Genomic DNA, 14,203 nt, shown 5'->3' with positions numbered 1-14,203 from the left:
TCTGGAACTCCTGAGCTCAAGTGATCATCCTGCCTCAGCCTCCCAAAGTGCTAGGATTACAGGCATGAGCCACAGTACCCGACCATAAATTAGATTCCAATGAAATTTGTGTTCAGTTTTGTTTTTGTCTTAAGGGTATATTAAGTAAACTTCCATCAATGATGAGAAGTGTGAAAATACTCAGTGAAAAAAATAGTAATGGACAGCTCCTTTATAAAGTAATACCTAAGGTTTTTTTGTTTTGTTTCATTTATTTGTTTTAGGGACAGGATTTCACTCTGTCTCCCAGGCTGGAGTGCAGTTGCAGTCTCAACCTCCTGGGCCCAAGCTGTTTTTCTACCTTAAGCCTCCCCAAGTAGCTGAGACTACAAGGCATGCCCCACACCATACCCTGCTAATTTTTGCTGTTGTTAGTTTTGATAGAGATGGATTCTCTTTATGTTGCCCAGCCTGGTCTGGAAGTCCTGGCTTCAAGCAGTCCTCTGGTTACCCAGGAAAGGGGTCCCAATCCAGACCCCAAGAGAGGGTTCTTGCATCTTGTCAGGAAAGAGTTCAAGGCGAATCCATAAAGTGAAAGCAAGTTTATTAAGAAAGTAAAGGAATAAAAGAATAGCCGCTCCATAGACAGCAGTGGCTTGAGCTATTCAACTAAGGATATGTATTGTTACTTCTTGATTATATGTGAAACAAGGGGTGGAATACTAATGAGTTTTCTGAGAAAGGGGTGGGCAATTCCCTGAACTCAAGGTTCCTCCCACTTTTAGACCATATAGGGTAACTTCTGGACGTTGCCATGGCATTTGTAAACTGTCATGGCACTTGTGGAAGTGTCTGTTAGCATGCTAATGCATTGTAATTAGCATATAATGAACTTTTCGCTGGCGTCTTTACTGCAGCCTATTTTATCAGCAAGGTCTTGATGACCTGTATCTTGTTCTGACCTCCTATCTCATCCTGTGACTTAAAATGCCTAACTTTCTGGAAGTGCAGCCCAGTAAGTCTCAGTGTTATTTTACCCAGCCCCTATTCAAAAGCCTCTGATACTCTGCCTTGGCCTCCCAAAATGCTGCAGTTACAGACATGAGCCGTTGTGCCTGGCCTAAAAGTTTCTTTCCTTTTTTTCAAAGGAAATCTTCCATGTAATCAAATAAAATATCCCTGCTACATATCTGGATAGTTTTTTAGTTAAAGAACAGATTTTCTCAGTCTGGGTCCTAACTTGACTTTGCTACTGAAATGTTGATTTAATTCTCACCTTCTTCTATATTGTCAAGTTGATTGCTTATATTAAAATAAAGCAGGGATTTGCAGATAACTTGTTTTATAAAGGGCCAGATACTAGATATCTTAAGCTTTGAGGCCCTTGTATGTTCTCTGTAATGTATTCTTTATTGTTGTTTACAACTCCTTAAAAACGTAAAAATATTTTGTAGCTCTTTTGTACAGGCCTTAAGAAAATAGGCAGAGGGCTTTAGCTTGCTAACTCTAACTAAACAATTACTTTTTAATTAGTTGCTTTAAAAAAGAAAAAGTACAGACCCAAATGTGAAAGGTTATTTTCTTAAGGTAAAATTATAACTCATGTACAAATTGAGCACACAGAGAATTTTAGCTCACTAATTAATGAAAGAACCAATAAAATGTTAAAATCAGTCCAAATGAGAATTGGACTCAAAGAGATTTATATTCTCTCCCAGACAGAATTCATTTACATTGTGATATGGTTTGGCTATGTCCCCACCCAAATCTCATCTTGAATTGTAGTTCCCATAATCCCCATGTGTCGTGGGACCCAGTGGGAAGTAATTTAATCATGAGGGAGTTACCCTCATGCTGTTCCCATGATAGTGAGTTCTCATGAGATCTGATGGTTTTATAAAGAGCAGTTCCCCTGTACATGCTGTCTTGCCTGCCGCCAAGTAAGACGTGCCTTTGCTCCTCCTTCGCCTTCCACCATGATTGTGAGGCCTCCCCAGCCATGTGGAACTATGAGTCCATTAAACCTCTTTTTCTTTATAAATGACCCAGTCTTGGGTATTTCTTCATAGCAGTATGAAAATTGACTAATATAGTAAATTGGTACCAGTAGAGTGGGGTACTGCTATTAAGATACCCAAAAATGTGGAAGCAGTTTTGAAACTGGGTAACAGAGGTTGGAACAGTTTGGAGGGCTCAGAAGAAGATAGGAAAATGTGGAAAAGTTTGGAACTTCCTAGAGACTTGGAGGGCTCAGGAGACAGGAAGATGCAGGAAAGTTTGGAACTTCCTAGAGTCTTGTTGAATGGCTTTGACCAAAATGCTGATAGTGATATGGACAATAAAGTCCGGGCTGCGATGGTCTCAGATGAAGATGAGGAACTTGTTGACAACGAGAGCAAAGGTGACTCTTGTTATGTGTTAGCAAAGAGACTGGCGGCACTTTGCCCCTGCCCTAAGGATCTGTGGAACTTTGAACTTGAGAGAGATTATTTACAGTATCTGGCAGAAGAAATTTCTAAGTGGCAAAGTGTTTGAGAGGAAGCAGAGCATAAAAGTTTGGAAAATTTGCAGCCTGGTGATGCAGAAGAAAAGAAAAACCTGTTTTCTGCTGAGAAATTGAAGCCTGCTGCAGAAATTTGCATAAGTAACAAGGAACTGAATGTTAATCACCAAGACAATGGGGAAAATGTCTCCAGGGCATGTCACAGACCTTTGCAACAGCCCCTCCCATCACAGGCCTAGAGGTCTAGGAGGAGAAAATGGCTTCGTGGGCCAGGCCGAGGACCCCCCTGCTGTGTACAGCCCACAGGTTTGGTGGTCTGCATCCCAGCTGCTCCACCCTTAACTAAAAAGGGCCAAGATACAGTTCAGGCCATGGCTTTGGAGGGTGAAGGCCCTATACCTTGGTAGCTTCCATGTGGTGTTGAGCCTGTAGGTACACAAAAGTCAAGAATTGAGGTTTGGGAACCTCCACCTAGATTTCAAAGGATGTATGGAAACGCCTGGATGTCCAGGCAAAAGTTTGCTGCAGGGGCAGAGCCCTCATGGAGAACCTCTGCTAGGGCAGTGCGGAAGGAAAATGTGGGGTTGGAGCCCCCACACAGAGTCCCCACTGGGGCACTGCATAGTGGAGCTGCTAGAAGAGGGCCACCATTCTCCAGACCCCAGGATGGTAGATCCACTGACAGCTTCCACTGTGCACCTGGAAAAGCTGCAGACACCTAACGCCACCCCATGAAAGCACCCAGGAGCAGGGCTGTACCCTGCAAAGCCACAGGGGTAGAGCTGCCCAAGGCCATGGGAGCTCACCTTTTGCATCAGTGTGACCTGGATGTGAGACATAGAGTCAAAGGAGATCATTTTGGAGCTTTAAGATTTGACTGCCCTGCTGGATTTTTGGACTTGTATGGGGCCTGTAGCCCCTTCATTTTAGCCAGTTTCTCCCATGTGGAATGGGTGTATTTACCCAATGCCTGTACCCCCATTGTATCTAGGAAGTAACTAACTTGCTTTTTATTTTACAGGCTCATAGGCGGAAAAGACTTTGCCTTGTCTCACATGAGACTTTGGACTATGGACTTTTGAGTTAATGCTGAAATGAGCTAAGACTTTCGGGGACTGTTGGGAAGGTGTCAACAAAAAGAGTCATACTTTGTAAAATATTTGAATAGATTTATTCTGAGCCAAATATGAGTGACCATGGCCCATGACACAGCCCTCAGGAGGTTTTGAGAACATGTGCCCAAGATAGTTGGGTTGTAGCTTGGTTTTGTACATTTTAGGGAAGCATGAGACATCAATCAAATACATTTGAGAAATACATTGGTTTGGTCCACAAAGACGGGAGAGTTCGAAGCAGGGGCTTCCAGGCTATAGGCAGATTTAAACATTTTCTGGTTTACAATTGGTTGAGTTTGTCTAAAGACCTGGGATTAATAGAAAGGAAATGTTCAGGTTAAGATAAAAGATGGTGGAGACCAAGGTTCTTTTGAAGTCTCATAGTAGCTGCCCTTAGAGACAATAGGTGACAAATGTTTCCTATTCAGACCTCTAAAAGGTGCTAGACTCTCAGTTAATCTCTTCAGGATTGGGAGGGCCTGGAAGAAAAAGATCTAGCTGTTTAATAGAGATTCTTTACAGATGCAGATTTTACCCCTACAAAGCATGGCCTTGCAAGGCCATTTCAAAATATGGCAGAGAAATATGTTTTGGGGTAAAATATTTTGATTTTCTTCTTTGTCACATAACGTTATGCCAGAGTCAGATTGGAAAGTAAGTCATGATACATAGGGTTAAATAAAACCCAGCTGATGAGAATTTATGGTTTGTAGGGCATGACTCCTGAAACTCCTTAGATAGGAATTTGGGCAAGATTTACAAAAATCAGAGCTTAGTCCTCAAAGGCATGATTGGTTTTGAAATGTGAGGACATGAGATTTGGGAGGGGTCAGGGGCAGAATGATATGATTTGGCTGTGTCCCTACCCAAATCTCGAATTGTAGTTCCCATAATCCCCATGTGTTGTTGGAGGGACCTGGTGGGAGGTAATTTAATCACGGGGCCAGTTACCCTCATGCTGTTCTCATGCTAGTGAGTTCTCATGAGATCTGATAGTTTTAAAAGGGGCTTTCCCCCTTTTGCTTGGCACTTCTTGTTGCCACCATGTGAGAAATGATGTGTTTGCTTCCCCTTCCGCCATGATTGTAAGTTTCCCAAGGCTTCCCCAGCCCTGTGGAACTGTGAGTCAGTTAAACCTCTTTCCTTTATAAATTACCCAGTCTTCGGTATGTCTTTATTAGCAGCATGAGAACAGACTAATACACATTGCATCACAAACACTGTCCATGAGGCAATTTCTGTCTCTAAAGACTTGGAAAACAACCTAGCCAAAGACAAAGATTCACATCTTTATTCAATCAGATAACTTCAAAGGGTCCAATAGACAACACCCAGCATTCCCTTGAAAGGACATTCAAAATCTTTTACCATTTTGGTCTTCCATAAATTTTGCTGACAGTCTCCCATCTCTCTTGTGATCAAGAATAATTTTCAAAGGTTATTATTAATTATGATTTTTTTTTTTTTTTTTTTTTTTTTTTTTTGAGACAGAGTCTCGCTCTGTCGCCCAGGCTGGAGTGCAGTGGTACAATCACAACTCAAAGCAAATTTCAACTCCTGGGCTTAAGTGATTCTCCCATCTCAGCCTCCCAAATATCTCCAAATGTTATTCTTGATCACAAAATAGTTAGTCTTGTTACCAGAAAGCCATCCCAATCCAAACCCCAAGAGAGGGTTCTTGGATCTCGCACAAGAAATAATTCAGGGCGAGTCCATAGAGTAAAGTAAAAACAAGTTTATTAGGAAAGTAAAAGAATAAAAGAATGGCCTCCATAGGCAGAGCAGCCCCAGGGGCTGCCCATTCTTATGGTTATTTCTTGATTATATGCTAAACAAGGGGTAGATTATTCATGCCTCCCCTTTTTAGACCAATATAGGGTAACTTCCTGACATTGCCTTGGCATTTGTACACTGCCTTGGAGCTAATGGTGGGAGTGTAGCAGTGGGGAGGAACAGAGGTCACTCTCATCGCCATCTTGGTTTCAGTGGGTTTTAGCTGGCTTCTTTACTGCAACCTGTTTTATCAGCAAGGTCTTTATGACCTGTATCTCATGGTGACCTCCTATCTCATCTTGTGACTAAGAATACCTGAAGTTGCTGGGAATGCAGCCTAGCAGGTCTTAACCTGACTTTACCTAGCCCATAGGCACGCTGAAGTTACTCAGGTGTAAACGTTTCTGACAGTCTCATTAGGTTTGGCCTGATTATTCACATAGGTGTAGCCACAGTGCTAGTTAGTCATACAGGGGCATCCTTGAACTATCTTTGCAAATCCAGAGCCATACAGTTTTGAGCAATTACTAAGACAACACAGTTAACTTCTGTGTGGACGTTTTCGTAAGGATTCAGATTGGACTTTTAAACACTCTTTATTATTTACTATACTAAGGTTAGGAAAATACACCTGAGAAACTCTCTCACCAGATTTCACCTGTGGTACCTATAAATTTGGGTGAATTAATCTCATCTTCAAGTCCCCAGTATTTTCTAAGGCTTGCCAGGAAGTGACTTTCCTTACCACCTCAGGAATCAGGCCAGTGTTCCTGGGAGTACTTTCTTTTAGGCATTGGCTCCCTATATCAAGTCAACTATTGTTTCTTAAAGTAGTTTGTCAATGAGAATTATTCTCAAATGTGATGTTCTCATTTATGAGATTCCAGTATATACAGTTACAAAATCCAATTATATCTTGATAAAAAGGAGATGAGATTGGTATTGATCCTATGCAAATAACAGTATTGCCATAAGTTAAGGAAAACTCAGTATGTTTCTGAATGCTCAGTATTCCATGAAAATCAGATACTACTTAATGTTTTATTCAGATCACAGAGGCAGAATCAATCTACTAAAATGTGGGTTAGAAGTAGTTTAAGGAGAAAGTGAAAGGGCTTCCTCATATAGCCACAAAAAATAGAACAATAAGATAACATGGGATGGGCACAGTGTTTCATGCCTATAATCCCAGCACTTTGGGAGACTGAGGTGGGAGGATCACTTGAGCCCGGAAGGTTGAGGCACTGCACTCCAGCCTAGATGACACAGAGAGACCCTGTCTCAAAAAAAAAAAAAAAAAAAAATTCAATCTTGGGGAAGGCAAGATCAAAAGAGTTAACAAAGGACATTTGGGCCCCTGATTAAGATAGTATCATGGATAAGAAACAATACTTGATTATTTAATCAAAATGAGAATAAAAGATAAGGTACTACAATTGTAAAGAACCTAAGCTCTTTCACAAGTAAAGAACCTTTGTTCTTTCCGGTTTGGTTTGTTTTGTATTTAATCATCTAGAACATAATCCAACATAAAGCCAGAGAATTATTGTGCTCTCTAAGAAAATTATACACAAATAAGAATCATCTTTCATATTATAGATGAAGGCATTAATCAGTAAACCAAAGACGCAAACCCATCAAAGCTGATTAAATGTTGCCAAAATTTTAACATGTTTCATGGCTTCTTTTCACATCCCAGTAGTATATTTTACAAGGCAAATCAAATTCACTTTTTAAGATTTGTCTTTCTAGCCTGGGAAACATGCTGAAACCCCATCTCCACAAAAAAATACAAAAATTAGCTGGGCATGGTGGTGTGCACCTGCAGTCCCAGTTACTTGAGAGGCTGAGGTAGGAGGATCACTTGAGCCCGGGAGATGGACATTGCAGTCAGCCGAGATGGTACCTCTGCACTCCAGCCTGGGCAACAGAGCAAGACCCCATCTTAAATAAATAAATAAATAAATAAATGATTTGTCTTTTACATTCTTTAACAAACTGTTACTTTAGTTTGGGACAAAAAAATGCTCCTTTTCCTTTAAAAACAAAAAGACTTACACCTTATATTTCTCTGTTACTATTGTTCCTAGTGTAGTTATAACCACCTGTATCAATTATGACTTCTGTTTCAGAGAGAAAACTGGGTAGAGAGAATGGATAATAAGAACTACGTCATACACAAGCATCTTAGCAGACTAGTAAAGCTCACAAATACACATAGCAGACTTTCTATAGTCACACACATCTCTTTAACACCTTCTTAACAAGGCAAAAATGAAGCCATTTGTTAACATTACTCAAAGATATAACCACTCTAATAGCATATACAAAACAAGCAAAAGTATGTAAGCTTAAAACTATGTTTAAACAATGTTTTACTCTTCTAATTAGAAATTCATCTGGGCATCCAAAAATTACTATTAATTAGCTCCATTTAACATTAGTCTGTGATTTTTAAATTACCATAAGATCCTGGAGATATTTAAGCTGACACATAATTGCTATTGATATAAAAAGCTTGTCAGCATTGTGATTCAATTTAGATTAACACAAACTTTCGTTTTTAAAATACTAAACATTACAAAAGAAGAGTAATATTAATTTTATCACTAAACCTGTATAAGTAAGTTTACAAAGTTCAGATTAAATTTTTTCTACATGAAAAAACAAACCCCAAGTGAAATAAACTGTATATAGTATTATAGTTAACTCTGATACTAGCCTCAGTTTGCCAAATATTTACCTTAAGTATGTGAATTTGGATTCTTAAAATGTTTCCAAACTGATAGAATCTGTAAGAAGAATCTTTTGTTCTTTGTCTAGCATATTTAAAGTGTCAGATGTTCACTTTTTTCTTTTCTTAGATTTGTAGGGATGTTTGACATATATATATGTGCTTATTTAGCTCTGTAAAACGAATGAGATCCGAGGTCCTTTAATTTAGGAGACATTATAATCTAATTTATTAATACTCTCTAAAGGTAGGAAAATGTTTTATACTTACAAACAAGAGGCCATGGTCTTTCTGTTTTGTTTTTTAAAGATAGAGTCTCACTCAAACCCAGGCTGAAATCATAGCTCACTGCAGCTCAAACTCCTAGGCTCAAATGATCCCTTTACCTCAGCCTTCCAAGTAGCTGGGACTACAGGCATGTACCACCATGCCCGGCTAATTTTATTTATCATTTTTGTAGAGACAGGGTCTTGTTATGTTGCCCAGGCTGGTCTCAAACTCCTGGCCTTAAGTGATCCTCCCACCTCAGCCTCCCAAAATGTTGGGATTACAGGCATGAGCCACCACGCCTGGCTGTTGTGGTGTTTCTGAATTACAGGACACATAAAGACCTATGGCTTTAGTTCTACAACTTTTTAGCCACGGGTCAAAAGTAAACACAGAATCACAAAACCTCACTGGTCCAGATCTCAAAGAGCTGTTCCCTTTCATTGCCCAGGCTGGTCTCAATCTCCTGGCTTCAAGTGATCTGCCCACCTCAGCCTTCCTAAAGTGCTGGGATTATAAGTATGAGCCACCACGCAGAGCCAGAATTCTTAATTGAATTACACTCGACATAGACAAATGGACAGAAAAGTCTGACAAGCTGGATAATGTTTTGATATCTCATTCAACAGAGAATAGATATCTATCACTCTTCTGTAGAGACCTCAAATGGTCAAACCATAAAACCAAATTATCAATTAGTGCTGCCATCAGTGAGGAGTAACTTACTGACCATGCATAAACCAGAAACAAAAAGTCAGCAAGAGAAGAAACAAATGAGAACAAGGAAATCAGCAAAACTAAAGTCCTACTGCCACTTAGGATTTCCTTTGGGAGCTAAGAAGAGATGTACCCAGGCTAAAACAGTCAATGAGGAGGTACATTTATCTAGTAACTCAGTTTACTTGGTTCTGTCAGATAAATTCATTGCCATCTTGGCGGAACCTCTAAAAATGTGAAAAGGTAATTTTTTTCAAAAAGATAAAATCATTACTTTTATATAATGATTTAAAAGCAGACACAAAGTCTGCTTTAGGCCCAGACAACTCTCCAGGGCAGCTGTCCTCCATTTAGTGGTTTATCCAATCAAAGCAGATTTGATCCATGGCACCATGTCTCAACATATGCTTCAGTGATCTCAGTGGTAGGGTAAGAGAGGATAAAAGAGCTTCACATTAGCAATTAAATGCTTTGACTTAGGTTACACACTCACTTCCTTTTTTTCACAACCCATTGGTCAGAACTAGTCACATGGCCTTGCAAAGGGAACTGGGAAATGTAGTCTTCCATGTGTGTTCAGAAAGAGAAGCAGCACTGGAAATATCAGTGAGTGCCAACAATTGTACTTAAAATTATACAATTGTAACAAACATTAATCTTACAAAAGATTAAATACTGTACCTACCCAGGGAAGAATATGCAGTCCCCAACATTCAGCTGTATAATTGTGAAGAAAATAATAACTTACTAGATTTTATTTTAGACTGCACACAATCTAGTAGCTCGGTATATTTAAAAGCCCACATCAGATATATTACTATGGGAATACAGTTACAATAAGTGATTTTTGAGAGAAGGAAGGCAAAAAATATGGATTCTCTTATAGAGTCCTTCAAATTGAAATCACAACTGATTTGAAATAACAAAATACTTGTACATATATTTTTTTAAAACTGAAGGGATGGAAATCACAGTGGTAATAGCGGTTTGTTTGGTCTTCTAAGTGGTGAGATTACAGATAGTTTTTGCTTTCTTTTCTGCTCATTTGTGGTTTTCTACAATAAGGATGATTGTCTTAGAAGATACTGAAAATGCTAGTAAACAGAATTAAGCAAACAGCAGCTAGTGTTGATGCTAGTGGTACAGGATTAGGGTTTTTGTTGTTTTTGTAGAAACGTATTTACTCAGTTGAAACCTTACCACCTAATTTTTAAGTGAAAACAAAACTTCTATTAAATCAAATTCTTTATTAATTTGTTGTGGAAAGTCAGGGTCAGAGTTCTGTGTCTCTAGAGATGGAAAAGGAATTTCTGGAGCCATGGTTTCAACCCAGCATTTTCTTTATATTCATTCAAGGTGCTTTGGATTCCGTTCAGAGGGCTTTGTATGGTTTAAGTGAAAGATGTTAAACGCAGCTGGTGAATACTGATAGACCTTCTTTGACCTGTTAGTACTGTGCTGGCCTGAGCTTCCAGACCCATACTTAACTAGAAGTAAAGAAATTATCACACCTCCAGGCTCATAGAAAGGCTCATATCACACCCCCAGGCTCATAGGCTTTACTGTATTAAATTGTCTTCATGTCTGATTCCTTTCTGCATGTTAACCTCAGAGAAATATTAGTAGATATACTTTATACATGCCACACTATATTTTGTAATCATTTAAATTCCTCCTATGTGTGTTCCCCACAACTGCTTTTACAAATAAAGGAATAAGGTTCAGATCTGATAACTTGCCTAAATCCCAAAGTGACTTTTTCAAGTCAGAAACAGTCTTAATAAGATATTCAGTTCTGTCACGTAGTGTCTTGGGTGTTCAGTAAATAGTGTGTGTGATGATACAGGGGCTGAGCCTGGGCTTATGATTGTGATGTTTTAATCTCTTGCTTAGATTTCAGAGTGTTTTTCTCTCTGTCCATAGTGAATACGATTTTAGAGTGTCGTGCTCAGTTTTCTTTTTCTAGTTGTTCTCTCACTCATGTTCTATTTTCATTTTAAATGATTTTGCCAACCTAAAATGAAAAATAAGAGAAGAAACATTACAAAAGCATGGAAATCTGTTCTGGCAGTCTTCTGGGCCTTTATTGAAACATAGGTAGATTGCTTTTTCTTTGTATTTATTGAACCAAGCTACCTAAACAGTGTTATTTTATTTAGAATGTTTTTAATCTTCTTTAAGCGATTCTTTCAACCTTATCTGATTTAAATGAGAAGACAAATGTGAATGTTGAATTAATACCCTGTAGCTTTAAATCCAACCAGTGTGGTGCTTTTGTCTTTTATAAAAGATGCTCACAGCTGGAGAAGAGAGGCAGATACTGTCTGTGATCTCCATTCTCAGAGTCAAACTATTCATTTGCATTAGCTGCTCTAGCAAACTGCGTGCGCGCGCACACACACGGATGCTTGTTTGGCAGAAGCTTTCTGTTTATTCAGCACAGAGTTCTCCTAGGCTCCCAGATATAGAAAGCTCTAAGAGTTGCTACAGGAGATAGAATTGAAACTATACATAGGCTGAGGTGGGCACTGCGGAGGATTGGCTATGCGAGGGTATTAATGTGGTGCGGCTGTACCTGCCTGTTTTGTGAAAGTCACTTCTCTGAGACTGTGAAGGTGAGAAGCCCAGGGATCCACTAGAAGCTTCACTGCGGCTCTTTGGTGGGGGAAAGCATTCCCAGTGGTAGCTGTCCTCATTTGCAGCGTTATTCTCGGAAACCAAGTATGTGCAGCAGTGACAGACTATGCCACAGCTCCTCTGCAGTTTGGAAGCTGGAACAAATGGAAAGAGCTTATAGCCAAGAGAGGTTGTGATTTTTTTTTTTTTACCATCCAAGCTTTCTCTGGCAGTGCACAAATGAAGGATGAGCTTTGTGGCAAGCAAAATCAGCAGACTGCCTGACAGGGGGTTTTGGTAAGATAAATGTGTTGTGATTTTTTTCTTATTTTTTGACTTTTCTATATCAGCTGTATGGAATTGCTTCTTAGCAATAACTAAAACATTTTGCAAAATCATGTTTGATGGAAAAGGATGACCAAGGGAACCAGAAGGAGAAACATAACTTGTGGTCATTCAGTTGTGACCTTCAGAGATAATCCAAGTTTTCTCATGTGTCTCTCAACAGACAGAAGCCAGAAATTTCCAGAGCAAAGAATGCAGACTAACAAACCTCTTTTCTTTTCTTTGAATAGTCATAATTATGCTTTTTTTTCCCTGCTTTTTCTATAGTCTGAAGCGGGAGAAGGAAAAATAAAGCCTTCCTCCTGTTATAGAGTTGTTGCCACTGGAACAGTAATAGGCTGAGAACATAAGTATGGAGGTGGAGGAAGGCAGGATAAGGAGTCTGCTATTTTCATAGCTGTGCGTTGGTGGGTATTTGTCTTGGGTTCATTGTCATTGCTGTTTGATATCAAGTGGTTGTGAATGCTGTATCTCTTTGCCTCTACTATGACTGAATCTCTTTTATGTTCTCTTTTGTATATTTTCTTTGCCAGACTCAATTCTATTGATATGAAGCCTTTTTCTGTTACTGTTTATACATATTAGCCGTTATTAGAGAAAAAATAGTTGTAGAGAGTAGCCCTCCAATATTTATGGACCTCAAAAAAGATAAGGATGTTGTTTTTCTCTTTAAAATGTATGTTTTACTTTTAGCAGATTTTGGAGTCTTGCTTCTGGATTCTTTAATAAGTGTTTTATTACAAATTAGAGAAATGAGTTGCATTAGATTTGCAAAATCCTACCAGAATCACCTTGCTTTAAGTTGGATCTTATTTCTTATGTTTTTTTTCTAAACATTAAAGTTTACTTTTCCTCATCCTAACTTAGGCAGGTGTTACTGGAAGGTATATTCCTATCTCGGAGAGCCAAGTTTCCTAGCTGCTTAGAGTGGCCACAGAAGAGATCCATTGACACCTGACTTTTTGCTGACTCATTGGTTATGTAAGCCTTGTAAATACAACTCTCCATATACTCCATTAGGTTACTGGCAGGTGCCCTCCTCCCTGTTTACTGACCTTTTCCTCTCAGCATCCTTCTGTTCCTTCCGTAAGCCTTTTTGGTAAGATGATCAAAACCTTTCAACCAAGTCAATTCTAAGAAGCAGTGAATAGATAAATCCTTTTTATTTTTCTCTTTTTGAATTGCTACTTTCTTTAACTCTGTTTTCATCTCAATTATGATAAAATTCCAAATTCTCTATTTTCTTGGCATGTGAAACCTACTGTAATAGTGCTTTTCCTCATTTATGGCCTGATTAAAGTAGCAATCTCCTTTTCTATCTTTGAGGACTCAGTTCAAATGTGTTCTTGTTAAAAGAAGCTTTCTGTGACCTCCCAGACTAAAATAGATTTTCCTCCCTTACACTATTCCTTTTCTCATAATATTCTGTTCTTTTTCTTTGTAGCACTTTACACAATTTATATTGTTTGGTTACTGGTTTTTCTCTCTCTACCACTTTTCCCCACTCAGCCATAAACCTCCTGAAAGCAGACACTGTTTGTTCATCATTACATACCCAGCATTTAGCAAAATGGCAGGCTGAGAGTTGAAGAAAGGCAGCTAAGTAGGCAATATTGCAAATGCACTATGGTGAGAAAAAATAGGATAAGCACTGGGCACTGAAACAAGGCCAGTGTGACTAGAGTGGGGTACGTGGGAAAGGAAACATACTGTAAAATGAAGATCTAGGTCAGGCATGGTGGCTCACACCTGTAATCCCAGCACTTTGGGAGGCCGAGGCGGGCGAATCACCTGAGATTGGGAGTTCGAGACCAGCCTGACCAACATGGAGAAACCCCATCTCTACTAAAAAATGCAAATATTTTGTATTTGTATCTAGAGAGGTAGATCCAGGGCCTAACCACATAGGACTTTATAGACTGTTCAGATTCTTGTTTATTCTAAAATTGTAGGAAGCTACTAAAAGAATTTAAGTATTGAGTGATTTAGGCCTTTTAAAAAAAATAATTTCTTCAGCTTAAATGAGAACCTACGTGAATGCAGGTAGATCAATCAGGATGAGTGGTCCAGGAGAGAGATGATAAGAGTTCATCATAAGGTGGTAGCAGTAGAGGTAGATGGAGAGTGTTGTGTATTATGATGGAAATTTGGAAA

At 39.1% G+C, this 14,203-nt stretch overlaps 1 protein-coding gene across 16 annotated transcripts in view, besides 4 other annotated features; it reads left to right on the top strand.

Annotated features, from left to right (window-relative positions):
• TMCC1 (transmembrane and coiled-coil domain family 1) overlaps nt 1-14,203 on the top strand; it is a 245,920-nt gene that overhangs the window by 193,534 nt on the left and 38,183 nt on the right. The window contains exon 1 of one of the 16 annotated variants that reach the window (NM_001349272.1): nt 11,446-11,703. The exons of 14 other annotated variants lie outside the window; for them this stretch is intronic. In NM_001349272.1, the coding sequence (NP_001336201.1) occupies nt 11,647-11,703 (57 nt within the window). In that variant the 5' untranslated portion in view covers nt 11,446-11,646. Of the gene's footprint in view, nt 1-11,445; nt 12,002-14,203 lie in introns of those variants that run through there. One more of the 16 variants, NM_015008.5, reaches the window with a different exon arrangement.
• Nucleotides 3,714-4,325: an enhancer, noted in NCBI's record as "NANOG hESC enhancer chr3:129414696-129415307 (GRCh37/hg19 assembly coordinates)". NCBI's record gives its function as "activates a minimal SCP1, AML or CMV promoter by ChIP-STARR-seq in naive H9 embryonic stem cells {active_cell/tissue: H9 hESC(naive)}" and the evidence as "EXISTENCE:reporter gene assay evidence [ECO:0000049][PMID:30033119]".
• Nucleotides 8,578-9,195: an enhancer, noted in NCBI's record as "H3K4me1 hESC enhancer chr3:129409826-129410443 (GRCh37/hg19 assembly coordinates)". NCBI's record gives its function as "activates a minimal SCP1, AML or CMV promoter by ChIP-STARR-seq in naive H9 embryonic stem cells {active_cell/tissue: H9 hESC(naive)}" and the evidence as "EXISTENCE:reporter gene assay evidence [ECO:0000049][PMID:30033119]".
• Nucleotides 9,356-9,876: a transcriptional cis regulatory region, noted in NCBI's record as "genic|chr3:129409145-129409665 region (GRCh37/hg19 assembly coordinates) targeted for CRISPR interference". NCBI's record gives its function as "negatively regulates H1.10 gene expression in K562 cells {active_cell/tissue: K562}" and the evidence as "EXISTENCE:mutant phenotype evidence [ECO:0000015][PMID:31784727]".
• Nucleotides 9,498-9,792: an enhancer, noted in NCBI's record as "tiled region #11052; HepG2 Activating DNase matched - State 8:EnhW, and K562 Activating DNase unmatched - State 9:DNaseU". NCBI's record gives its function as "activates a minimal TATA promoter and a strong SV40 promoter by Sharpr-MPRA in HepG2 and K562 cells {active_cell/tissue: HepG2 | K562}" and the evidence as "EXISTENCE:reporter gene assay evidence [ECO:0000049][PMID:27701403]".

The sequence above is a fragment of the Homo sapiens genome, chromosome 3 (assembly GCF_000001405.40).
Source record: "Homo sapiens chromosome 3, GRCh38.p14 Primary Assembly".
Classification (NCBI taxonomy): domain Eukaryota; kingdom Metazoa; phylum Chordata; class Mammalia; order Primates; family Hominidae; genus Homo; species Homo sapiens.
This window is presented reverse-complemented; position numbering and strand designations above follow the sequence as displayed.